At 37.9% G+C, this 25,274-nt stretch overlaps 1 long non-coding RNA gene across 5 annotated transcripts in view, besides 4 other annotated features; it reads left to right on the top strand.

Annotated features, from left to right (window-relative positions):
• Positions 1 to 21,288, top strand: part of LOC101927745 (uncharacterized) — a 75,707-nt gene extending 54,419 nt beyond the window's left edge. For 3 of the 5 annotated variants that reach the window (NR_188238.1, NR_188237.1, NR_188235.1), the window contains one exon: positions 19,327 to 21,288. This is a non-coding gene — a long non-coding RNA (uncharacterized LOC101927745). Of the gene's footprint in view, positions 1 to 4,548; positions 4,617 to 19,326 lie in introns of all 5 variants that reach the window. The other 2 variants (NR_188236.1, NR_188234.1) reach the window with 1 other exon arrangement.
• Positions 22,356 to 22,893: an enhancer, noted in NCBI's record as "OCT4-NANOG-H3K27ac hESC enhancer chr21:16739664-16740201 (GRCh37/hg19 assembly coordinates)". NCBI's record gives its function as "activates a minimal SCP1, AML or CMV promoter by ChIP-STARR-seq in naive H9 embryonic stem cells {active_cell/tissue: H9 hESC(naive)}" and the evidence as "EXISTENCE:reporter gene assay evidence [ECO:0000049][PMID:30033119]".
• Positions 22,894 to 23,432: an enhancer, noted in NCBI's record as "OCT4-NANOG-H3K27ac hESC enhancer chr21:16739125-16739663 (GRCh37/hg19 assembly coordinates)". NCBI's record gives its function as "activates a minimal SCP1, AML or CMV promoter by ChIP-STARR-seq in naive H9 embryonic stem cells {active_cell/tissue: H9 hESC(naive)}" and the evidence as "EXISTENCE:reporter gene assay evidence [ECO:0000049][PMID:30033119]".
• Positions 22,894 to 24,499: a biological region, named in NCBI's record as "P300/CBP strongly-dependent group 1 enhancer GRCh37_chr21:16738058-16739257".
• Positions 23,300 to 24,499: an enhancer, noted in NCBI's record as "P300/CBP strongly-dependent group 1 enhancer chr21:16738058-16739257 (GRCh37/hg19 assembly coordinates)". NCBI's record gives its function as "activates an origin of replication core promoter dependent on BRD2, BRD4, P300/CBP, MED14 and CDK7 cofactors, with strong dependence on P300/CBP, by STARR-seq in HCT116 cells {active_cell/tissue: HCT116}" and the evidence as "EXISTENCE:reporter gene assay evidence [ECO:0000049][PMID:35650434]".

Genomic DNA, 25,274 nt, shown 5'->3' with positions numbered 1-25,274 from the left:
TTTGGTATTGGCAGAGATTCGTTCCAGGAATCCCTGAAGTTACCAACATTCATGAATGCTCAAGTCCTTTATATAAAATGGTATAGTAGTATTTGTATATAACTTACACACATCCTTCCATATACTTGCAAATATCTCTAGATTACCGGTAGTGCCTAATACAATGTAAATACCATGTAAATAGTTATTTTACTGTATGTTTAGGGAATAATGACAAGAAAAAAAAGTTTGTAGGTTTGTACATGTTTAGTACAGATGCAACCATCCATTGTTTTCCAAATATTTTACATCCACAGTTGGTTGAATGCATGGATGCAGAACCCATGGACCACAGAGGGCCAACTGTATTTAAAATGCTTTCTGTTTATGCATTAATTTCTTGTAGAATTAATATTGAGTCACCCTATCCATGAATACGGCCTACCACTCCATTTATTTCATTTGTCTTTAATGTCATTTCCCCATAGGTTGGATATTTTCTCGTATTTGTGCTATTTGTTCTTGTTATAGTCAACTATCTTTCAGAGAAATTTTAAGAGCGTGAAAAATGTCTTTTATATCTACAAGCATATTTAACATTTCTGGTGCTCTTCTCCTCATCGGGCAGATTTGGTTTTCCATCTGTTATCACCTTCCTTCAGCCTGAAGAATTTTAACATTTCTTGTAATGGAGGTTTGTTGGCAATAAAGTTGTTCATAATATTACCTTATTATACTCTGCATGTGTGTAGTATTTTTTGTGATTTCCTTTCTTGCATTACTGATATTGGCAACTTGTGTTTTCTCTTAATTTTCTTGATTAGTATAGCTAGAGGTTTGTTTGCCCTCTGCGGTCCATTTGTTAACTTGATTGATCTTTGCAGAGAACCAAATTTTGCTTTTAATTACTTACTCTATTATATTCCTTTTCTATATCTTTGACTTCTCTTGTTTTCTTTATTACTTCCTTCATTACTCTTACTTGTTTTCTTTGCTCTACTTTTTTTAACTTAAGCTGGAAGCTTATATAATTTATACCATTCTTTTTTACTAATGTATAGGCATTAAAATAATAAATTTACCTCTAAGTATTGTTTTTATTTCACAAAGTGTGTGTGTTGTGTTTTCATTATCATCCAGTTCCGAATGTTTTCTAATTTCACCGAGAATTTTCGTTCTGACCCATGAGCTATTTAGAATTCTTTTTGCTCTTTTTTTGAAAATTTCTTTTTTGCTTTCATTTTTGGAGAATATTTTTACTGGATATAGTATTCAATAGTAATTATTTTTTCCTTTCAGCAGTTTAAAAATGTCAGTTCATTGTGTTTTATTTTGCATTGTTTCTGATGAGAAACAATGTCTTTTTTCTTCCTCTTTGTAACCTGTCTCTTTTTCTCTGGCTGCTTTTAAGATTTTCTCTTAATCATTATTTTTTATAAATTTGATTACAGTATGTTTTGTGGTTTTTCTTGGGCTTCTTTTCTTGAACTTTATTGACCTTTTGGATCTGTATGTGGATAGCTTTCATTAAATACAAAGAATGTCTGACTCAATATTTCTTTAAATACATTTTCTGACTTCTGTGGTCTTCATGGGAGCCAATGACATGTTTGTTAGACTGTTGTTTCATATTATCTTATAGACTGTTTCATATCATCTTACAGACTGTTTCATATCATCTTACAGACTGTTCCATATCATCTTATACACTGTTTCATATCATCTTATACATGGTTTCATATCATCTTACAGACTGTTTCATATCATCTTATACACTGTTTCATATCATCTTATACACTGTTTCATATCACCTTATAGACTGTTTCATATCACCTTATAGACTGCTTCATATCATCTTATAGACTGTTTCATATCGCCTTATAGACTGTTTCATATCATTTTATACTCTGTTTCATATCATCTTATACACTGTTTCATATCATCTTATACACTGTTTCATATGTTATACACTGTTTCATATCATCCTATATACTGTTTCATATCATCTTATAGACTGTTTCATATCATCTTATAGAATGTTTCATATCATCTTATATACTGTTTCATATCATCTTATAGACTGTTTCATATCATCTTATAGAATGTTTCATATCATCTTATAGACTGTTTCATATCATCTTATAGACTGTTTCATATCATCTTACAGACTGTTTCATATCATCTTACAGACTGTTTCATATTATCTTATAGACTGTTTCATATCATCTTTTAGACGGTTTCATATTATCTTATAGGTCAGTGAGGCTCTGCTTTGATTGTTATGTACTACTTTTTATTTTTTAGAATTGGGGGGTCTCACTCTGTCAACCAGGCTGGGGTGCACTGGTGCAATCAAAGCTTACCGCAGCCTTGAAATCCTGGGCTCAAGCAATCCTCCCACCTTAGCCTTCCATGTAGTTGGAATTACTGGTGTCCAAGACCACTTAGCCTACATTTTTTTCTATTTGCTTGGCTTATATCATCAAGTTCCCCGATCTTTTCTCTTGCCATATATGTAGTGTATCTTAGCCTATCTAGGAATATTTTTTCTTCTGATATTTTATCTTTCAGCTTTTGATGTTCTATTTCTTAATGATAGAATTTCCTTTTCCCCATTAACCCCCACCTCACTAATCCTAGCTTCTGGTAACCATCATTCTACTCTTGGCTTTTATGTGTTCTCTTTTTTTTTTTTTTTTTTTTTTTTAACTTTCACATATAAGTGAGAGTATGTAGCGTTTATCTTTCTGTGTCGGGCTTATTTCACTTAGCATAATGTCCTCCAGGTTCATCCATTTTGTCATAAATGATATAATTGCCCTCTTCTTTAAATGCTGACTAGTATTCCATTGTGCATATATACCACATGTTAAAATCAATCCATCAGTTGATGGATGCCTAGGTTGATTCTATAAGTTGGCTATGAATAGTGCTGCAATAAACATGGAAGTATAGATGTATCTCTGACATAGTGATTTCAAATCCTTTGGGTATGTACCCAGAAGTGGGACTGCTGGATCATACTGAAGCAGGATAATTTCTTTGACCCCTATGCAGGAGTTGTAAAGGGATGGCTCACTTACTCAGTCCACAGCACTCAAACCCTTTGTGGGAGGGGGAACATACAGGTGAGCAGGTTCAGGAGCCAGGGAGAGTGCCTTTGGGTGCTGGCAGGAGCAAAACCCCATACCAGCCTGTGGCAGCATGTAGGGGTTGCCTGCGAACCCTTGAGGCCCAGGGGGTGTGTGTTACAGTGCACTCCTTTAGCTTTGCTGTCCATGGATGGCCTGAGTGTTAAACAGCTCAGTGGAGGGTCAGTGTGACAGCCTCTTTCACCTGCACCTGGGTCCTTGTCTGGTGTCCAGGAGGAATGAGATTGTGCAAACAGATTGGAGGGTGGTTAATGCAAAGCATTTTATTGAGTAGTGGAAGTGGCTTTCAGTGGGATGGGGAGCTGGAAAGGGGATGGAGTGGCCAGGTGGTCTTTCCCTGGAGTTCAGCCATACCTGGCCGAACTCCTTTCCAACCATAGTCTCCAATGTCCAGCTGCTTCTTCCCTCTTGACGTTCAGACACTTCTCTCTTTAAGTTTTTACTAAAAGACAAGTTTAGTGAGCTTAATACATGAGCTTCTTGGGATTTCTACTGGATGCCCAGCATACTGAGTAAGCCCACTTAACTCTGGATGGTTGGAACTTGAATGTCTCCCAGTCTTCAGGTCTATGGATTTCAGTAGTTATCCAGTTTATTATTACTCAATGCTTTGTCTTTCTCCAGGAGTTATTTGTTCTACTTTGTAAAATGCTCAGAAATCTGCACAGGGGCTATCTTGAGTCCCTGGAAAATGCTAAGATTTCTGGGCATCTTTCTCTGAATAATTCCCTTCTTTTCATTCAGCCCTACAAATTCTAGACAACTAATCCTTCCCAAGTTCTGATCAATGTTTCTTTAATTCAAAGAGAACATTCTGCTCTGAAATGTTTTCCACTTCCATGCACCAGTCTGGAACATGCCTCCAAGCAGAAACCTGGGGAAATGATAGGGCTCATCTCATTTGTTTCCTTTCTTTCAGAGATTATAGTCTTGCAATTTTTTTCCCAAAGTCTAGAAATAGTTATCTTTCATAAAATTTTTTCACTTTTAATATCGTTTACATCAGAAGTACTAGTCCAGTACTAGCTACTCCATCATAGCTAGAAGTGGGAGTTCTCTGCATAGCACTTTACTCTTCAAAGAAGTCAAGACTATTACACTTAGAAAAAAAAAAAATCTCTTGCGTCATCAATAGATCAATCCACCCCAACCCCATAGGACTTGAATTTCATTTCCTCACTATCCAATAAATGGCTATTTAGGCTATACCTGGTTGCTTCTAGTGATGATGAGATCACTATCTCCAAGGTAGGCATACATTTCAGGCTGGCAAGATCATCTTCCTTTTCATGTTCAGAACTCCATCTCTCTGTAACTCATCCTTGTCTTATCTCTTGATTCTGTATATGGAAGAGTCTACTCTCTCTTCCACTAAACAGTCCTACAAATAATTGACAGCAGCATCATGTTCCCACAGAGCCAGCTCTTCTTCAGGATAAGCATGCCTGGTTTCTTCAACTTATTCCACAAGAGTGAACAAGTAAGGTAAAAAGACAACTGCTTTGTTCTCCCTGCCCTTAAGTATATGCCCTAAGACTTTTGAAATCTCAGGAGAAAATTCCTTTTGAAGCCCTCCTGCACTCTTAGCTTGAATCAGACATGCTTAATTTGATCATTTGATCAAAGGATCACTCAGCTGTTGCAAACAGTCTATGTAGTTAGCATCTTCCGCATCTCCTAGGACTATACCTATAGAGCCTCTTCCTAGTTTTATGATACAGAAAACTCCAGTCCTGACCATGCCTTCTAATGGAACTACTGAACTATTAGATAATTGCTTCATTTATTGGGGAATGGGAACTAGAAGAGAGCAAAGTATAATTCTATTGAAGTACATGTTTCTATTTTCTAATTGATAACTTTAAGACTAAGATTGAATATAACATTTCAGGCCCCAAATGGTCAGTTAACATATCTGAAGATTAGGCATAAGTTATGGTCCTAATATTATTTGTTGCTCAACTTTTTTTTTTTTTTTTTTTTTTTTTTTTTTTTTGAGATGGAGTTTCACTCTTTTGCCCAGGCTGGAGTGAAGTGGCGTGATCTTGGCTCACCACAACCTCCGCCTCCTTGGTTCAGGTGATTCTCCTGCCTCAGCTCCCAAGTAGCTGGGATTATAGGCACCTGCCACCACACCCGGTTAGTTTTTGTATTTTTAGTAGAAACAGGGTTTCACCATGTTGGCCAGGCTAGTCTCAAACTCCTGACATCAGGTGATCCGCCCACTTCGGCCTCCCAAAGTGCTGAGATTACAGGTATGAGCCACCATGCCCAGCCGACTTTTTATCCTAAAATTGAGCTTTCAGCACTTTGTTTTTACTCCAAAGTCAGGATTAATCTTAATAACTGTCTTATAGTGAAGTTAAATAAAAGTCCTGAAAAACATGTTCACCTGCACCTCTTTATTCGTAATAAGAACATGTTTGGGGGCAGTGGGCCTCGTAGACTAAACCTGACAGTTTGTTTTAATTGGTTTCTGATTCGTTTCTTTAGGCTATGCCTTATTTCTCTCAGTCTCCAGGTCTGTACTAATCCGCATAACAGCATTAACAGAACATTGTGAAACGTAATTCTCACTCGTTAAAAAAATGCAGATGCTAAATGTCACGCGTTTACATTTTGAAACAGTGATTTCCTTCAATCTACTTTATCTTATTTAACTTTTAAAAAATGATTTCCCAAGGGCTATAGTGTAGGAAAACCTTGGTAAGTAACTTCACCTCAAGCATTTTTTAATCACGTAGAGAGATAACAGTTGCACCAAAGCGTCTCCTTATTAACATGTAATGTCTCTTATGGCGCGATGGGTTCTGCAGCTGAGGAGTAGCTATAAACATTTTTTGTTGCCTAAGACAAAATGGTTGATGGTTAATACTTGCTTTCTCTTAACAGGCTCTTTATTTGCCCAATTAAACTTGTCTCATAAACTCTCTCATTTTAATATAATGATGAGGCTCTGGGGTTAGATCTGATGCTAGAGTCAGATATTTAGCTGTTCACCTTTTCTATCCCCAGAGAGGAAATGTTTTTCAGTACCTTGTGATAAAAAATAAAAGGGAATAATAGATTTGAAGTGTCTGATATTTTGCAATCTGTTACTTTTTCCTTGTCGCTTCAAGACGTGGCTGGAAAAAGAAAAGGAAGTGACCAGAAGATAGGCCTAGAAGTTGGTTTCAAATAGAGGAGTTGGACAGATTCTGCACTGCAGGCTTTGCCAGTCAACGAACTGGAGTATGAACAGCAAGGAGTAACCTGCAACTTCTATCATTAGGCTTCACCTTATTTCTAATACTAAGTGACTGTGGACCCATAGGCATTTGTCACCACCTAACAGCGGTCAAGAGCTCTCTAATTTTAGCTAATTACTCTGGCCCCACTCCACCACCAACATTCTTTTTTTAAATTCACCAAACTACATTTCACTCCTACGGTGAGCCAAGCCCAAATCTAGGTGCTAGAAATGCAAAAATAAATGTCAAGTTCCCTGCCTTAAAAGGAATTCACAGATAAGACTATAAAACACGCAATTCAAAAACAGTTTGATAAGGCTTACAACCAAGATTGGCCAAGTTCAAAACTAAATTTTAGTGGGTCAGAGAGAATTTCTTGAAAGAAGTAACACATGAACTAAACTTAAGTGGTTAGCTTAGACAACGCAGGGGTAGAAGAGATGGAAATGTTCGGAATGAAAGAGGAACGAGGCTTCAGATACCATAGTGTGGAAGTCTGAAGGAACATGATGGCCTCAGGTAATGATAATTGGTTTAGTGTTGTGGGGACATTAGGCATTTGTATGTTAGCCCCTATTTCTATTATTAGTATTAATCAGTTGCCCAAATGAGAGACCTCTCTATGCATATGCCTTAGTATTACAGCCTTAGACACGGCTTTGAAATATACTTCTTCTCTCTATCCTCACTATCACTACCTTAGGTCTCCCCTGGACTATTGTGTCTTCTACCTGAAAGTCAAGACTTCTTGCTGTCTTCTCTCCATTCCAACCTCCATGGGAAGAAGAGATAATAACATTTTCTGGCTGTATAAAAAAAAAGTACCAGGAATTTTTTGTTGATTGCAGGTATATTTAAAACCCTTTATCTTGCCATACAAGTCTCGATCTAATTGAGACGAGCTCATCTTACCAAGCTACATTCTAGCCCACTCCCACACCATACAGGTTATTCCGTAACCCACCACATATTTTTAGAATTCTACTTTGAGGTCTTCCCTGAGATTTGAACATACAATTTTTTCTTCTCTTCTTAGACAAATACCTACTCATCCATCAGAATCCAGCTCAAATGCAATTTTGCTATGAATCTCTCCGTGGCTTTACTGATGAAATTAGTCAGTTTATCATTTCTCTTCTCTTAGCACACTGTAAATAATTCTATTAAACATCCTATATTATGTGGTGATTATGTTTTCATATCTATAAATAGATTGCAAGGTCTAAGCATATCCATTTTGTGACTCTTGGTGCCAAACTCTAGAGACTATAGTGAGTTGAATGATGGCCCCCAAAAGGATATGTTCATGTTCTGATCTTGGGAACCTGTGAATGTTACCTTATTTGGAGAAAGGGTCTTTGTAGATGTAATTAAGTGAAGGATTTTTTAGATAAGGTGATCATCCTGGATTATCTATAAAGGCCCTAAATCCAATCACAAGTGCTTTTATAAAGGTGAGACAGTGAGATATTTGACACAGAACAGGAGGAGCCAATGTGACCCTGGCGGCAGAAATTAGAATATGGTCCCAGCCAAGGAATGCCAGCAGCTACCAGAATCTGAAAGAGGCACAAAAAGGATTTTCTGCTAGAGCCTCCAGAGGAAGTGTGGCCCTGGCAACACCTTGATTTGAGATTTCTTACCACCAGAACTGTAAAAGAATAAATTTCTGCAAATTTAAGCCATGCAGTTTGTAGTACTTTATTAAAGAAGTTACAGGAAACTAATAGAGAGACCAAAAGGTGGTGACTATCACTATTATTATCATTAATAGAATACAAATCCACCAGGATATAAAATGTATACATTACATTTCAGGTTCCTTTTTATGCCATAAATATAAATAGCAAGATTCACCTATATCATTCATTCATTAATTTATTCACATATAAATATTTATGGTTTGATCCTTTTCTATGTGCTAAGTACTGTGCTTAAGACCTTGAATATATTATCTACTTGAATATTCACAGTAACATTCTTAGGGAGAAATAATTATTACAGCTTTGCAGATGACTTGAAAGAGACTTACAAGTATTAAGTAATTTGTTCAATCATGAGGAAGTGACTGAGGCAAGATTTAAACCAGATTTTTCTGAACCTAAAGTCTATACCCTTAACCCTGATGATCCACAACCATATGATTTTAAAACATGCAGCCAAAATTAGGTATGTGACAACATAAACAGTATTTGTTTTAATGACTCTTCTTTTGCCAAAGTCCAAAGTTAGATGTCAATTAAAGGCATATTCTTAAACATTCTTACATTGGATAAAACAAATAGACTTCATTTCACTATTTTTATTAATGGAACTAAGTTGCATAGTCCCATTCCTATGATAAATATTATTTATCTAAAACTTCAAGCTTAGAATTTAAAAATAATATAGGATTTCACTCTAATAGTTTCTATTAGTGAAACAAGAGAGCTCCCTGACGCCCTTTGCAGGATGTGCAACAGGGGTGTGGCTTGTGTGTTCAGCTGCTATGCACTCAAACCCTTTACAGAAGGGGGAGCATGCAGATGGGTAGGTGCAGGAGCTTGGGCAAGCACTTTGGGGCTCCAATCCCACAGTAGCATCTAGGGGTGGGTGTCTCCAACTCCTGAAGCCAAAGTTGGCATGGCATGTGTTACAGTGCACTCCTTTAGCTTTGCCATCTGCAGATGGCTTAAGTGTTAACCAACTCAGTGCCCTCTTGGTACCCAGGTCCTTGTCTGATGTTCAGTAAGAATCAGGTCATACACGGACTTGAAGGATAAATGCAGGGGTTTTATTGAGTGGTGGAGGTAGCTCTCAGTGCGATGGATGGGGAGCTGGAAAGGGAATGGAGTGGGAAGATGATCTTCTGGAGTTTGGCTATCCAGCAGCCAATCTCTCTTTGACCGCCCCCAGCCAAACTCTTCTTGGCATTTGGATGTTCCTTCTCTTCTCTCTGCTGTGCTGTTCTGCCATTCTTCTACTCTTCTGTTCGTCTCTGCCTTGTGTGCTTCTGGAACCTGGGATCTGGGGTTTATATGAGTACAAGATGGGGGGGCATGGTGGGCCAAAAGGCAACTTTTGGGTGCAAAAACAGAAATGCCTGTTCCCATTTAGGGTCATGGGTTTTCAGGCTTGAGTGTGGGGCCTTTGCAGGGGAACTGCCCTCTTCTACACAGTATTTTCCTGTCTCATTTCCATATAATTAATAGCAGTTTAATTGCAAAGATATACTTGAATCAAAGTAATAATAGGATTCCACCAAGGTAAAGAGAGGAGAATTTGAGCTTCCACTCAGAAATACAACTCTATTCTATAGGAAAATAATTTTGTCATCGACTGCCTTAATCTTTACTTGGATTACCTTAATTACATTTTGTTAATTCTACTCTCAGTTTCTTCAGAGACTGACAGGCACAGTTTTGTTATCATATTTTATTTAAGTGGATCAGATTTGTAGACAACTTGGTTTCAAAAACATCAACAGGATTATCTTCTGTATCAAATAAAGGATGGTAATCTGTTTTTAAAGCTTATAACAGAATAGTTCTGAAAGCAGTAATGGAGTCTAGGAAGAGATGAGGTAGAGACGGCAAAAGGCCATTGATTGCCCAGAAGTTTTCTTCCAAAATCTTAGACCTTACACAAATATACAAATACCATTTACCTAAAATAATTGCATTACTTTAGCCTGAGCTATATTTAAGCTAGGTCATTTGTTAGTTTGCTTATTTGTTTTAAGATCAGTGTTTCGTAAGTAAAATCATGTTTATGCTAAGACAAAAACTAAATCCACCCTACTAATACAGAGCTGCAAATACCTACAAAGCCACTTTTGTCTTACTTTTTCAGGAAATAACAGATATAAAAGAGACTATTTGTATGGCATAAGCCTCATATTTATCAGAGCTTAGTCATGGATGTCTGCCAATTTGGTGCTGTGAAAGAGCACTGGACTGAATTGGGAGACGTAGGTGCTAATCCTCTTTCATTACTAATTGTAGGAACCTCAGATAGTCACTTTTCTCCCTGGGTTTTAGTTTTTTATTACAAAGACAGTGAATATGGCAAGATGCCCCTAAAGTCCGTTCTAACTTTAGAAGTTTACCATTTCAATCCCAAAAGAAAGGAATTAGGTGTAATATTTTTATTTTGTTTCATCCAAGATCAAATGATACTCATTTACAGTGCAACTTCTAAGAGGCTCCATTAGCTTCATATTGTTTCACAGAACTTCAGGCTTTGCCTTACATAGATATTTTATAAAATTATGGGCTTACCATATATTTTGGAGGTTGAATTGCAAGATTTTATGGTGATATGAATACGGAAATAAAGGAGAAAAAAGTGTTAAAGATGAAATGCTTCTTCCTGGCATAAACCACTGGGTGGTTGCTAAAATCAGAAATACTGGAAGAAAACTAGATTGGAAGGAAAGGTCAAAAATTTCATTTTGAACAACTCTAATCTGGGGTGCTTCTAAGAATCAAATGTGTATGTAGGTAAATATTCAAGTTTGGAGTTTAGAAGAGAGGCCGGGAAGGGAGATATGAATATGAAAGTAATTAGCATATAAATGGTATTTCAAACCAGATGTACAGATGAGATTGTTGAAGGAGAGAGTATAGATTGTGAAGATGAGGGCTTGGAGAATAAGCCCTAAGAAACTCCCACATTTAGAGTTCTAGGATAGGAAAAGTGAAATAGCAAAGGACCAGAGAAATAGCCCTGAAAGCAGGAGAAAATGGGGATCATGTGGTGGAATAGAAGCCATTGCCAAGAAAGTGTTCAGCAAGAAAGAAGAAGCCAACTGTACTGAATGCCTATGAAAAGACGAGGTCAAGATGGACTAGTAAATTTATTCCGTCACATACTTCTGATTCAAGCACATGCACAGATAAAATACAAAATGGAAATCAATTACACAATCATGCTCACAAACAAGGTAAACAAATATTTCTATGTACATAAATGGAAGACAACACAAAGTGTTAAGTGGGACTAAAGCTATGAATAGGCAACTGGGCTAAAGCCTAAGAGTGTTTATATAAAATGGTCTAAGGGTTTAGGAGGCTGGGGTGGGCTTGAAAGATATTACTGATTATCATTGTTTGGGGCTGTGGCTCATATCAAGCATTTAATCTAGGGTTGTAAAAGCATACAGACATCGTCATGTGACTAAGACCTAAACTGATATCTTACTATGGGGCGTATATCCCAGTCTACCCTGTAAAATCTGGTTCCGGGCTGACTTTCGAGAACTAGGTAGACCTCTAAATATTGCAGTGGTCCAGGGCTCAGTCTTCCAACCTCTCTCCCATTACATTGACTCTTCAGTGATATAGTCCATGCTTATTTTTTAAAATACCATCCACATCCTGATGACCCCTAAGTTTACATTTTTAGCTTGGACCTCTCCTTTGACCTTCAGATTCACACATCAAGTTGATATCTCCACTTGGATGTTCCAAAAACATAAGTCACAATTTTACTCCCCACACCTTGCTCCTCTCATAGTCTTCCCCACTCCAGTTAATGACAACTTTATCCTTTCCATTTCTGAGACTAAAAACTTTGGTGTAATTCTGGGCACTTGTTTCTCATCTCACATGCAAATCTCGGCAAATCTTGACAACTTCACCTTCAAAACGTATCTAAAATGTGACCACCTCTCATTAGCTCCACAATTACAATGGCTCAAGATGCCATTATCTCATACCTGAATTACTGAAATTGCTTAATGCCCTCCCCCACTCCCCACCGTTGTACTACTGCTCTGCTGTTGTCTAATCTCAACATGGCGGCTTGGGAGAGCCTTTGAAATATGTCAGCCTTTTCATATCACATCTTGGCTCAAAATGTTTTAAAAAGTTTCTAGATCTCCAGAGTAAACGCCAAAGTCTTTATAATGCACTGCACAAACTGCTGTCTTTCTGACTTCTTTTGGTAAACTCTCCCCTTGCTAACTCCACCCCAGCCTCACTAGATTCCAGTGTTCCTTGAAAACAAACATGCATGCTTCTGTTGCAGAAATTTCATTTGCTTTTCTCTCTGATTAAAATGTTCTTGCCCTAAGGAAACACAGGGCTTGCGCCCTCACTCCCTGTAACCTTTTATCAAACTTACCTTTCAGTGAGATCTTTTCTGATCATTCTATTAAAAATTGTAAACTCTCACAGATGTGCCCTGCCTCTTTTCCTTGCCATGTTTATCTCCACAGCAACTTCTATCATTTGACTTACTAACTGTTATACACATGTATTTCTATACGATCTGTCTCTCCATCACCAGAAAATTTACTTCATGAGAAGGTTATGTGAACCTGATGCAATGGAAGTGTGACGTGTGACTGGCCACTTGAGCTAGATGGATGGCAGTTGTGGCTGCCACACAGAATTTTTCCTGAGGGTCTCCTCTAAATGGTTTCACCAGTTTTGTGGGACACTTAGCAGTGTTTCTGAGTAAGCACTGGCCTTTGCACTTTCAAATCAGACAACTGAGCGTTTCTTCCAGGTTCCATAACCCATCTCCAGGCCTGAGTTAGGAATAATTTCATAGTAGTTGAGTATATACCTGGCGCATGCATTACCTATATCTTGGACATTGAGTCCAGCCTTTCAGTTCAAAATCTCTGTTTACATATAGTAAGTTTTCTATTAGAATTTCCGTTATCATTTCTGGCTTTGGGACAATAGCTATTCCATTCCATTGACATGTTCTCCATGAATCTCCGAGTTGGTCAGAGGTCCAATCCCTTTACCTGTGTGTGACTTCTCAGCTTCCTGGGTTGGTTAATTAGAAATCAGTTTCAGGCCACTTTTCAGTGGCCTCCAAACCCAAAAGTGAATGAATATGTTGGGGAAGGGGCACATGAGTAGCTGTTTATGGAGCCAGGAGGGTCATCTCCCCTTATAAATATTTTCCAAAAGTAGGACCCTTTAAACACAAAATAACATAATACTCTAGAATATTCCTTGTGCTGGCTATGATAAAAATATGTTAATGGAAGCAGTGTGAAAGCAAAAACCAGACAAAGCAGGTAGTCACAGGGCAGGGAACTCTTACAAATTTCCTGTCCCTTCCCATCACCACTGAAGAAGCCTTGCTTTGCCCCAGGGATGGAGGAGGAGGATGTCTTAAGTCACTTGCCCTTGGTAGCTATGCCACAAGTAAAATGTCCTATTACATCTTTATCCCTTTTCTTTCTTCATCTAGAAGGACTTTCTTCCTTGTATTTCCTAATAAAATCCTACTAATTCTCCAAAAAAACCATTTAAATGCCTTAAACCTTCCTTAATATCCCCAGATCCAAGTTGCCTTTATTTCTTCTGAGTTCAAATATTCCTTGTCCTTCTTTGTTAATACATTTTATTTTTATAGGATTTACTATCCTTATCAGACTGTCAATCCCTTCATATCAGGAACCAAGTCCTATCACTTTTGCTCTTAGCAAAACATTTTAAGTAAAGACTTACTACCTACCTATTGAATTGAAACAGAATATAAATTGTTGAGGTATATTGTTGTAATACAATGTATTTCATGGAGGTATAATGTATATTTTTGAGATTTGTCATTATCTCTTTCCAAGTGAAATGAGAGAGCTCCCTGACTCCCCTGACAGGACATGCAACAGAGGCACGGTTTGTGTGTTCAGCTGCCACATACTCAAACCCGTTATGGGAGGGGGAACACACAGATGGGCAGGTGCAGGAGCCAGGGTGAGCGCTTCTGGGCTGTGGCCCCATGGTAGCATCTAGGCGTGGGTGCCTGTGACTCTCAAAGCCCCAGTGGGTGTGTTACAGTGCTCTTTTAGCTCTGTCATTCACAGATGGCTTAAGTGTTAGCCGGCTCAGTGCCCTCTTGCTACCTAAGTTCTTGTCTGGCATCCAGGAAGAATCAAGCCACATGAACAAATTGAAGGATGGTAAATGTGGGGGATTTTATTGCTGGATAGAGGTGGTTCTCAGCGGGATGGATGGGGAGCTGGAAATGGGATGGAGTGGGAAGATGATCTTCACCAGATCAGCCTTCCTGCTGCTGATCTCCTCTCTGAATGCCCCCAGACAAACTCCTCTCGATGTTCAGATACTCCTTTTCTCCTCTCCTTCTCTGCCACACCACTCTGCTACTCTGCTGCTCTTCTGCCCCTCTTATCTTCTGCTCATGGAGCCTGGGGTTTGGGGTTTATATGGGTAGAGAAGAGGGGAATGGGGCGGGCCAAAAGGCAACTTTTAGGCTTGAAAACAAGAATGCCTGTTCCTAATTAGGATCATGGGTTTCCAGGCTTGAGAGTGGAATTACAATGGCTCAAGATGCAATTATCTCATCCTGAATTACTGAAATTGCTTAATGCCCTCCCCCTCTCCCCACTGTTCTACTACCGTTGCTTTTGCCAGGGAACTGTCCTCTTCTACCCAGTATTTCCCTGCCTCCTCTCCATATCACAAGCAAATACCTCCTTGAATTTAGGTGTTTCCATGTGACTTGCATTGGGCAACAAAATGAGAGCAGAAATGGAGGGCGTCCCTTCTGAGTTGAGGCATGTAGAGTGGTGTGTGTCTCCCCACACTCTTCCCCGCTGTGGAAGCCCCTGTAGATGTGGAGGTGCTTTACGAGCCTGGCAGCCTGCAATGCGGAGCCTCCACATGGGGACAGTTGCCTTGGAGAGTTCCTGTAGATGTGGAGGTGCTTTGCGAGCCTGGCAGCCTGCAATGCGGAGCCTCCACAAGAGGACAGTTGCCTTGGAGAGTTGCTGGGTGATGAAATTTTGGAGCTGTTTGTTCCCCAGCGTAATGAAATTTATCTTGAGGTAAAAGAAAATCAAGTTTTAAAAGAGAAAGAGAGAGGCCAGGCACGGTGGCTCATGCCTGTAATCCCAACACTTTGGAAGGCTGAGGCGGGCGGATCATGAGGTCAGGAAATCGAGACCATCCTGGCTAACACGGTGAAACCCCGTCTATACTAAAAATACAAAAGAATTAGCCGGACGTGGTGGCGGGCGCCTGTGGTCCCAGCTACTCAGGAGGCTGAGGCAGGAGAATGACGTGAACCCGGGAAGCGGAGCTTGCAGTGAGCCGACATCGCGCCACTGCACTCCAGCCTGGGTAACAGAGAGAGACTCTGTCTCAAAAAAAAAAAAAAAAAAAAAAAAAATAGAGAGAGAGAGAGCTGAATTCAAATCTTGAGTTTGCCACTTTACAGTAATGTGACTTTTAAGAAATTCAGAAAAATCTTATACCTCAGTTTCTTTGTTTGTAAAATGGAAGCTGCTACTCCCTCTACCTTCCACATGTAACAGAAGGTTATGGAAAATATCATAAGTATTGATCATATAATAGATGCTTAATAAATAGTATCTATTCATCTATCTATAATATCATATCATATATATCTTACATTTATGCACTTTCTGGGTCACCTAGCACAATGCCAAGAAAAAGACCATGGCCTGGGTAAAGTTGGCTGATTAATCTGAATGTTTATAATAGAGTACCTATACACTATACAATGAGAGGCTTAAAGAGGTACTCAAGAGAACATTTCTAAATTAACAAAGAATGCAAATGAAGTCTGGTATAAAGTTGACCCCGACCTTTAAAGTATTCAGAGGGCAATGGGTTCTTAAATAATGAACTGTACTTGAATAATATCTTCAATGTGTTGGTTCCAGCCCTTCAGCATACATTGCATACCAGACCTCCCTGTTCTCACTGCCTTGTTCCTAGATGATTGTTCTGTAATTAACCTTGGAAAACTCCCACCCTTCATTTTTCCTCCTCATGTATCCTTCAGAATATATCATTTAGCCAGTTCAGGGGTTTGGCTTGATTCAGCTTCTGAGGTTTTGATTTCTCAGACTCATTACACACTGGCAACATGCCATGATCATCAACACTAGCCATTTCTATTTAATAGAAAATTATTTATTCTACTTCATAACATTCATGTTTTTTTTTAATTTTTTAACTGCAATTCTGTTTGCCTAAGAAAGATTTGAGATTTAAAAAAAAACTTCTTGTTACAAAATGGTATTTTGTTCTAAACATCTAAATAATTTAAACTCAGTCATAAAGATTTAAAGGATAGTTTGGAAGATGTTTGATATTGTCAGGGAAAGATCATGGGCTTTGGAATGAGAGGAGAATCTGAATTTTAGCTTCTCCACTTGATAGCTCTTTCTTTAGGGTAAATCTGGCTTTTTACAACTTCACTGTCTCACTTCCTTTATCTGTGAAGTTCAGATAATAATAATATTTACATCTTAGATTAGTAAGAATGGATGAAATAATATTAAAAAATCCATGTAAAATCCATAGACGTGCCTACTATAAAGTTAGCACTGGATGAAAATGTGGGTTCCATCACGGAAGTTACAGTTTACTTAGGAGATAAATGGAAACATTTGAAATTGAAGAAGGAGCTCTGTAAAATTTATCTTGAATGAGAGCATCTTTATCCACAGAAAGGGCAATGAAGGACTGATTTCTGTGATAAGAACTTTAGGTGCACCAGCAGGGCATAGGAGAAGAAGGCCAGTGAATGCAGAAGTTGAGAATTTTAGTGCTCAGAGAACCTCAAAGAGAAACAAATGATATGATGCAGGATTTGAGATTTTATCTGAACTCAAAAGTGTAGATACAACTTGGATAGACGAAGACATTAGGTGGGTGGTAGAAGGCACAGCTGAGCTTCTATGTCACGACAACAGAATTTTTTCATATATGGAAAAGAACAAGATGACCAGCTCACTGGAGCTACGAGTTTGCCTTAGGAACCAGCATAAAAATTGGAGAGAAGGATTGCATTCATTTAGGGAGAATCTGAGATCCACAGTTACTTTCACTTTACCTTAAAGGAAATTTGGAGCCATTTTAGGGTAGTAACATGACAAAGCAGTGCTTTAGTATGATTCTCTCTGGCTGCTGTGTTTGCAAGATGATATCAGAAGTAGGACACACTGGGGCAGAACGGCATGTTAAACAGATGATGAGAGTAATACTGATTTGGGAGATGGAGACTTGGAGTAGTGGCAAATGTGAATAGAAGATAAATGGTGACCTCCACAGCCATTCTCAGGAAAACATAGGGTTTGGCAGTAGATTCCTAACAGGAAATTAAGAAGAGGTAATAATTATGAATGACCTAGATGAGTGTTTGTGCATCAGACTCAGAAAGTCCATCCCACTCATCAAAGAATCTTTGAAAACTCCCTATTGTGAAGCATTCATTGAACTTTGCATGATGAATTAGAACAAAGTTGTATGTTATTATATTTTAAGGTGGCCTTTGTGTTGACTAGTTTATTGGGAGAGACAAAGTATCAATACCAGTCTGCTTTGCTTGGTATCTAATAGACCTATGGGCTCAAAATGGAAAGATGTGGATATCTTGTATTTTATTTGTTTACTCACTTTTGCGTGATGGAGCTAGAGACTCCGAAGGCAACCTGGACAAGTTCTTACTCTGCTCTAAATGTGGAGATGGCTTCTGTTTCAAGAAAGGGCTTGTTCCATTATATCAATTATCATATAACCTGAAAACTCCTCATGTGGTTGGCTTTCACCACCTGTGCATGTCTGACCCTAATCTTTTCCTTTTATCCATGGTGGTCCATGCATGGACTCCTCTTTTGTTAAAAACAAGCTCACATTTAGTTAATTCACCACAATGGGAAATTAAAATGCCACAAAGTCAGAGGAAAAAATGAACTAAACTGAAAAATGTGCTAAGTGGGAACAAAATTTAAAGAACTGCATCAAGAGAACAGATCTGGAGAGATCATTTAGTCCATTCAAATAACTTCAGCAAACGTATTGGCTCTCAACCCTGACTGTGTAGGATAATTTTACAGGAACTTCTGATAGATAGCAGTCTCATCCCCAGAGATCCTGTTTAATTATGTATAGAGGGATACCTTGAGATCAGGACATTTTGAAATCTCCCTAGGAAATTGTAAAGTGCAACTAGGGTTGAGATATATTCTTCTGTACCCTGGCCTGGCTGCTCTTTAGGATCAATTGGGGAGTCTGTAAAAAATATGCCCGGTTTCAACTCCCAGAAGATTCTCATGTAAGTGGTCTTGGGCAAAACCTGAGCATTGATGTATTGGAAAGTTCTCCACGTGATTCTTCTGTAAAGCCAGTTTGAGAATCAATGAGCTGAGGAGTAACTCCTAAACATCAAAATCCCCTGAAAAGGATGTTAACACAAAAGATTACTGGATCCCATTTCCACAAACTCTGCTTCAGTAGTTGTGGGTGGAACCAGAGAATTTACATGCCCAACAAGTTCCCAGGTTCGGTTGCTGTTGCCAGTATGGGGACTCCATTTTGAGAACCACTGAAGTAAAACTCATCTATATTAAAAATATCTCCAAAGTAGATTAGTCTTCTTTGTAAATATCCTCCAATACTTTAGCCTCACCTTAATACATCCAATTTATTTCCTTAACAAGGTTTTAGTTATTTGAAGTTGAGATGGTAAGTGAATTCATATGAACACCACTAGTTACCAATTAATTCCTTCACTTTTTATCCCTCTCTCCCCCCAAAAAAGTGATTTTTTTTTGTAATTTCAGTTCAGAAGAAATGTAAGCAAATAACTGCTAACCACTCAAAATTTGATTTTTGACTTCTAAGGGTTAAGGTCCACTGATCCACAGTAATTTAAAAAAATTATATAAACACAAAAGAGTAGGAGGCACGGATAAGACACCATTGTAGGTATCACATAATAAAACTCAAGTTAAGGTCATGTTGACCCATAGTGTTAGAGAATGCCATCTACCAAGCACAAAGGAAAACAAATTGTCACATTTTTTTTTCTGTCAGTGGTTGTAAATGAAAGAAGATATTTTGAGGAACAGGATTAATAAAACATTAAAATAACTAGGAAAAAAGGCTGGTAATTAAGCATGTACTGTAATTCCAACCCAGCCTGAACAATGGCTCTTCTCTTCTGATTCTGCTTCTTTTTAATTACAGAAATAACAGTTCTTCCTGGATCAGCCCTCTCCCGTCTGTCATCTCCAACAGATACAAAGCCAGCTTTAAGAAGACCAAACCTACAAAAATCATTCATGCTTTCTGCCTCCATGTTTTTCTTTCCAACCTAGTTCCTCCAGAAAATGTAAAAGAGCAACCGAACCGTCAACTGGTACAATGACTTCTACACATCAGACCTCGGCCACGCCACAGTCATCAGATTATTCTATCACAGGGTCTCTCAACCGTGGAATATGGTCTCCAAGGGAAACAAGCCACAGAGGGCTCAGGAGCATTGCTATAAAGAGTAGGCAAATGGAAATCTTTCCCCAAAGGGCACACTGGGATTGTTAGGCGAGGGCTGCTCAATCCATTAAAAGTTTAAACTCGAAAAAAAAAAAGAAAAAAAAAACCTTTTGAAAAAATACAGAAAGCAACCTGTTCTAGATTTTGTGTATAAAAGAGAGTTTATTCAGGGGACTGAAATGTTGACAGTGAATCAACTGGGAGGATATTTTCAATCAGAACCGTCTGACTGACAGCTTTCATATTATTAATGCACATACTAGGAGACATCAAATTTGAAGGGCAGGCATTGTGCTAAGTCAGACTTCTACCTTAAAATGCATTACATTTTGTCTGTAAATCAAGGTCAGTTATTAAATTAAGGTGCTCTCATCCCTAAATACTTTATTCCATCATCGTGTGTAATTAATCACAAACCCCTTACTTGGGGTTCTTTAGAAAGTGATGAGCAAAACCCATAAAAAATTAAGAGAAAAAATAACAGGTATCTTTTAAAAAACAGGGAATAAGTGCAAGGAAATTTAAGTATAAGTAAAAAAATTTGCACGATTCTTTAAATAGATAATAGATATAATAATAATAATTTTGCAGCCCTACAATTCCACAGCATATTAATCTTTTCAAATCTGTTATTTTTCACCATTAAAACAATCATGTAAAACAGGTGGAGTACTTCAATATTCCAATTTCACAGATGCATACACTGAGTCAAGGAAAAGTTAAGTATCTATTAAGTCATCCAGCTTACTGGATATGGAACTGAGACTTGAAAGCATATCTTCTAAATCCGACCTCTTCTCTAAAGATAGTGTCACCTTTCTCCAAAGATAGTGTCAGGACATAGAAAGCAGAAGTTAAACTGTATGCGCTATTCTGCCTTCCATACTTATTTTTCCCAAGAAGTAATTTAAAAAACACATTGGAGATAATGCTTGTGAAGCACTTTGCTAAATGCTAAATTGTCCGAACACTTTGGAAAAAAGTGGCAGTTTCTTAAAAAATTAACAAAGAATTACCATATGACCCAGCAATTCCACTCCTAGCCATGTACTGAGGAGAACTGAAAATATATGTCCATGTAAAAACTTAGAGTTAAATATTTGTAGCAGCTTTATTTAAAATAGCCAAAAAGTGGAAACAACCCCCCAAAAATGTGCCTCAGTGATGGATGTATAAATAAAACATGTTGTATACATAACAATGAAATATTATTTAGCCACAAAAAGAAATGAAGTTTCTTTTTATATTAGTTGGCCATAAAAAGAAATAAAGAGTTTTTTGTTTTGTTTTGTTTTGTTTTTTTGTAGCATGTACTGACCTGGAAAACCTCATGCTAAGTGAAAGAAGGCAGTTACAAAGGACCACATATTTTTGATACCATTTATATAACATGTCTAGAACAGGCAAATCTAGAGAGATGGAAAGTAGGTTAGTGGTTGGCTAGTACTAGAGTAAGCAAGCAGGGATTGGAGGGTATTGGCTAAGGAATACAGGGTTTCTTTCTGTGGTGCTTTTCTTAAAAAGTTCTAAAATTGATTGTTGTGTTGTTTGCACAATGCTGTGAATATCCTAAAAGCTACTGAATGATACACTTTAAATGGGTGAATTATATGGTAGGTAGATTATGTCTCAATAAAACTGTTAAAAAACACAAAAGCATACTCTGTTTCAAATGTTGCCTAAGATCATCTCTGCATTCAAAAGAGGTAAAAGAAACCCTCTTTCTTTACTTCCTTTACTTTTTCTTCTATTAGTCTTCCCAGTTTTTAGGATCCAGAACTCAAGTTCTTGTGATAAGTTATTTGCAAAGTACGAAGGAGTTTGCTCCACTTTGATTTGCCTGAGATCTAAACCCAGATGTAGTATTTTGATGGGCATTCTGAGTTTTCAACATCTTACTGACAGGAAGACTGGCTGGAAGGACACAATCCTTCTGTACAAAGGACACTGAGTATTCTTTAATCTTGTATCTGTTTTTGTTTCTGTCTCTTACCTGGATTCTTGTGTTGCATTATCCACACTTACACATAACAATTCATAACACTTCAACTCCAAGCCATTAGATTGGGGAGGGTTAAAAAACCCTGTAGCCAGGCATGATGCCTCAGGCCTGTTATCTCAGCATTTTGGGAGGCCGAGGTGGGAGGATGGCTTGTGGTCAGGAGTTCAAGACCAGCCAGAGCAATGTAGTCAGATCCTGTCTCTACAAGAAAATCAAAAAACTAGCCAGCCATGTCACCATATGCCTGTAGTCCCAGCTACTCAAGAGGCTGAGGTGGGAGGATCGCTTGAGCCCAGGAAGTTGAGGCTGCATGAATTATGATTAAAGGACTGCACCCCAGCCTGGGCACACAGCAAAATGCTGCTTCTAAAAAAAAATTTTAAAAATGAATAAAGAAAGAAAAATTTAAAAATAAACACTGTAACCACTATTACTTACTTGACTTCCCAGCTTTCCTTTTTCTAGCTTTTAGAGAAATGGCTCTTAGTATCTCTGCAAACCACCTACCTAATCACTAGCTTAATCTGATATAATAAAATAAAATTTACATAAAATCATTCCCATAGTAACTACCTACACAATTAGATACAATAGTTCTCTAATTTTAAGAGGTAACTGTTCTCTTTTCAGGTGCAAAGTTAACCTAAAACACAGCACAATGTTTTTTTAAAAAATACATTAGTCAAATCTAAGCAGGCATATTAAACAATAAAAGGAGGTGATTTCATCACATGCACAAGGCTGAAAACTTTTTTCTCACTTAATTATTTAAAGATTGTGAACTCTTTGATGTAAGAATGTGTTTTTTAATTCATTTTTATGCCTTTACATTTCTTGAATATCTTGAATATTTCCTACTATATAATGGGTGCTTAATGTGAATGAATGAATAAACAAATGAGTGAATGAAAGTCTGAATTAGTCACATCTGTTTTTAGCAGACTGGAATCAAAGAGCCCTGAACCCAAGACATGATTTTTTCAATTACTATTTTTGTATGCACGTGTAATTTGATATCGGTTAGACTTAGTTTTCTCATCAGCTACATGGGGTTGCTGATGTGTTGTGAGCATAAATAACGGTGTGAACCCAGAAAATCTGAGACAGGTCACAGTTAATTTAGAAAGTTTATTTTGCCAAGGTTGATGACGTGCCTATGACACAGCCTTGGGAAATCCTGACAACATGTGCCCAAGGTGGTCGGAGCACAGCCTGGTTTTGTACATTTTAGGGAGACAAGAGACATCAATCAATATATGTAAGAAGTACATTGGTTCGGCCTCGAAAGGTGGGACAACTTGAAGCAAAGGCAGGAAGACTGGAAGTGGGGAGGGAGCTTCCAGGTCACAGATGAGAGACACAAAAGAATAGGTTGCATTCTTTTGACTTTCTGATTAGCCTTTACAAAGGAGGCAATCAGATAGGCATCCATGTCAGTGAGCAGACAGATAATTCTGAATAGAATGAGAGGCAGGTTTGCCCTAAGCAGTTTCCAGTTTGAGTTTTCCTTAGTGATTTTGGGGGCCCAAGATATTTTCCTTTCACAACAGCATATAGTTTCTAAAAAACAGGTAGCATTGAAAACATGTGAACTATTAGCTTACAGGCATTACTTTATGTAATAATCAGGTTGGTCACAGAAAAAGTCAGAATTTATAGATAATCAGGAGAAGAAAGGGTAAAAGAGGATGAAACCAAAGCAAATTTACTAGCTGAATATGATTGTGATCAGCCTGATGATTTTGAAAAACTACGAGGAAAGAATCCCAAATTTGTTGCAAATCATCATTATGGTTTGTTGCAAATCATGTCCTCCACTCTGTGAAGCAGACATTTTTCTTACTGTCCTGAAAACTTTGATGGTGGGGACTTGTAAAGAAATAAATTATGACTTAAAGAAAGGTCAAGAATAATCTATTCCAGCTGTGGCTTGAGGAAGCTAATTTGAATTTAAAAGAAAGCAAAGATCCTTTTTTATTTCCCTCTTTCCACTCAAGATTTTTAATATTGTGGACTCCTAACAGATATAATTTCATGGCATCAATAGAGGACTCAAAAGGAATATTCAAATGGTGGAAAATCTACGAATAGTTTGGAGAAGAATCCCAGATACATTTACTGAAAAAGTAAATTATGTACAGTAGCTGTCAGGCCCAGACAAAGGTTGTTCTTGTTAAATATAGTGAACTCCAAGTTTCTCTTCAGAGAATCAGTATGTCAGTATGCTCAGCTCTCTTATTATCTGTTCTCCATTTTAAAGTTTAACTTCCTGATTCTCTTTGCCCCCTTGCCTCTAGTTTCTGTAAACAACTTTCCCACCAGTTCTAATCGGTAGTTCACATCTGTTCCCCTGGTCACCTGCTTTGACCTGAGTCACCCCTGTCACCTGCTCCATCCTGACTCATCCTGAGTCACCTGTTCTGTAACCGTTCTTCCTGCCAAACTACTCACCCCACCACTCCAACTCATACCTCTGCTCTCTTTAAAGCAGCCAACTGGAATTAGCTTAGACTGTGTGGTCCAACCGTAGCCAATAGAGGAATGATGCAGCAGTAGGGGCTACCTGCATCAGGAATAAAAACCCCTTTTTTTTCCCTCCCTTGTTCAGGTGTGCTCTTGCCATTGCTCCACCTGCAAGATGCACCCTTCTATAGAAGTAAAATTGCCTTGCTGAGAAAATTTATACTTGAGTGCTATTCTTTCATTTTTGCGGCACTGAAAAATTTGCTTCTAACATTCTTCTCCCAACATGGCATCCAAACCGTTCCCTGCTGTGCTGCCTCATTCAACCTCTTCCCATTGTGGTCACTTGTGATTTTTGGCTAGCACATAGTTTCATTTTATTGTCTAATAGCCCGCCAGAGTTCACTGAAATCCTGCTACCTGGGAGTGTATACTTGGCTAGCAAGTAATGGAGAAGACATGGTCTCATTTCCCACAAGACCGTAAAATCTGCTGTAGAAAATTCATCCTTCTTTCTACCACTCATTATTTTTTATAATCTTATTTCATCACTGAAGCTTTGGGAATTTAGTAGAATGCTCTCTTAACCTCAAATTGTTGCTACTTTTCAACTATTTTGGTGAGATAAAACTTTTCAGTTATATAATAGCTGATTTTCCTGAAATTTTTTCTTGACATGGAAAGAATTTTATTAAAGATTATATGAAATAAACATATTTGACCAGCTCCCAACTACTCTGGTCAGATAAGCTTTCTTTTGGGCTCATATTGTTTAAAACTTCTGCCAAATGTTCAGAATACTTCTTTTTAAAAGAGTTTTGTGAAAGACAGGTTATTTGGCAAAGTAATACTACTAAAAGATGTGAGAATAAAGCTATGTATTCTCCAAAAATACTCACATTTTAATGTGAGATTAGACTTGGCAAAGTCCATTTTGTTGATTTATTATTCTGAGACAAATCTTCAAATATTTACTATATATTATGCTATTTGCAAGTTAATTTCATATTCTTAGAATTATTAATACATATGAATTTAGCAAAATTTTAATTTCATGCTGTGTCATTTTATACAGGGTTAGGCATCCCTAATCAGACTATATGTGTAAGGTGTATATGGAACATAAATGAATTTTGTGTTTAGACTTAGGTCTCATCTCCAAGATACCTCACTATGC

The sequence above is a fragment of the Homo sapiens genome, chromosome 21, assembly GCF_000001405.40.
Source record: "Homo sapiens chromosome 21, GRCh38.p14 Primary Assembly".
NCBI classification, from domain to species: domain Eukaryota; kingdom Metazoa; phylum Chordata; class Mammalia; order Primates; family Hominidae; genus Homo; species Homo sapiens.
This window is presented reverse-complemented; position numbering and strand designations above follow the sequence as displayed.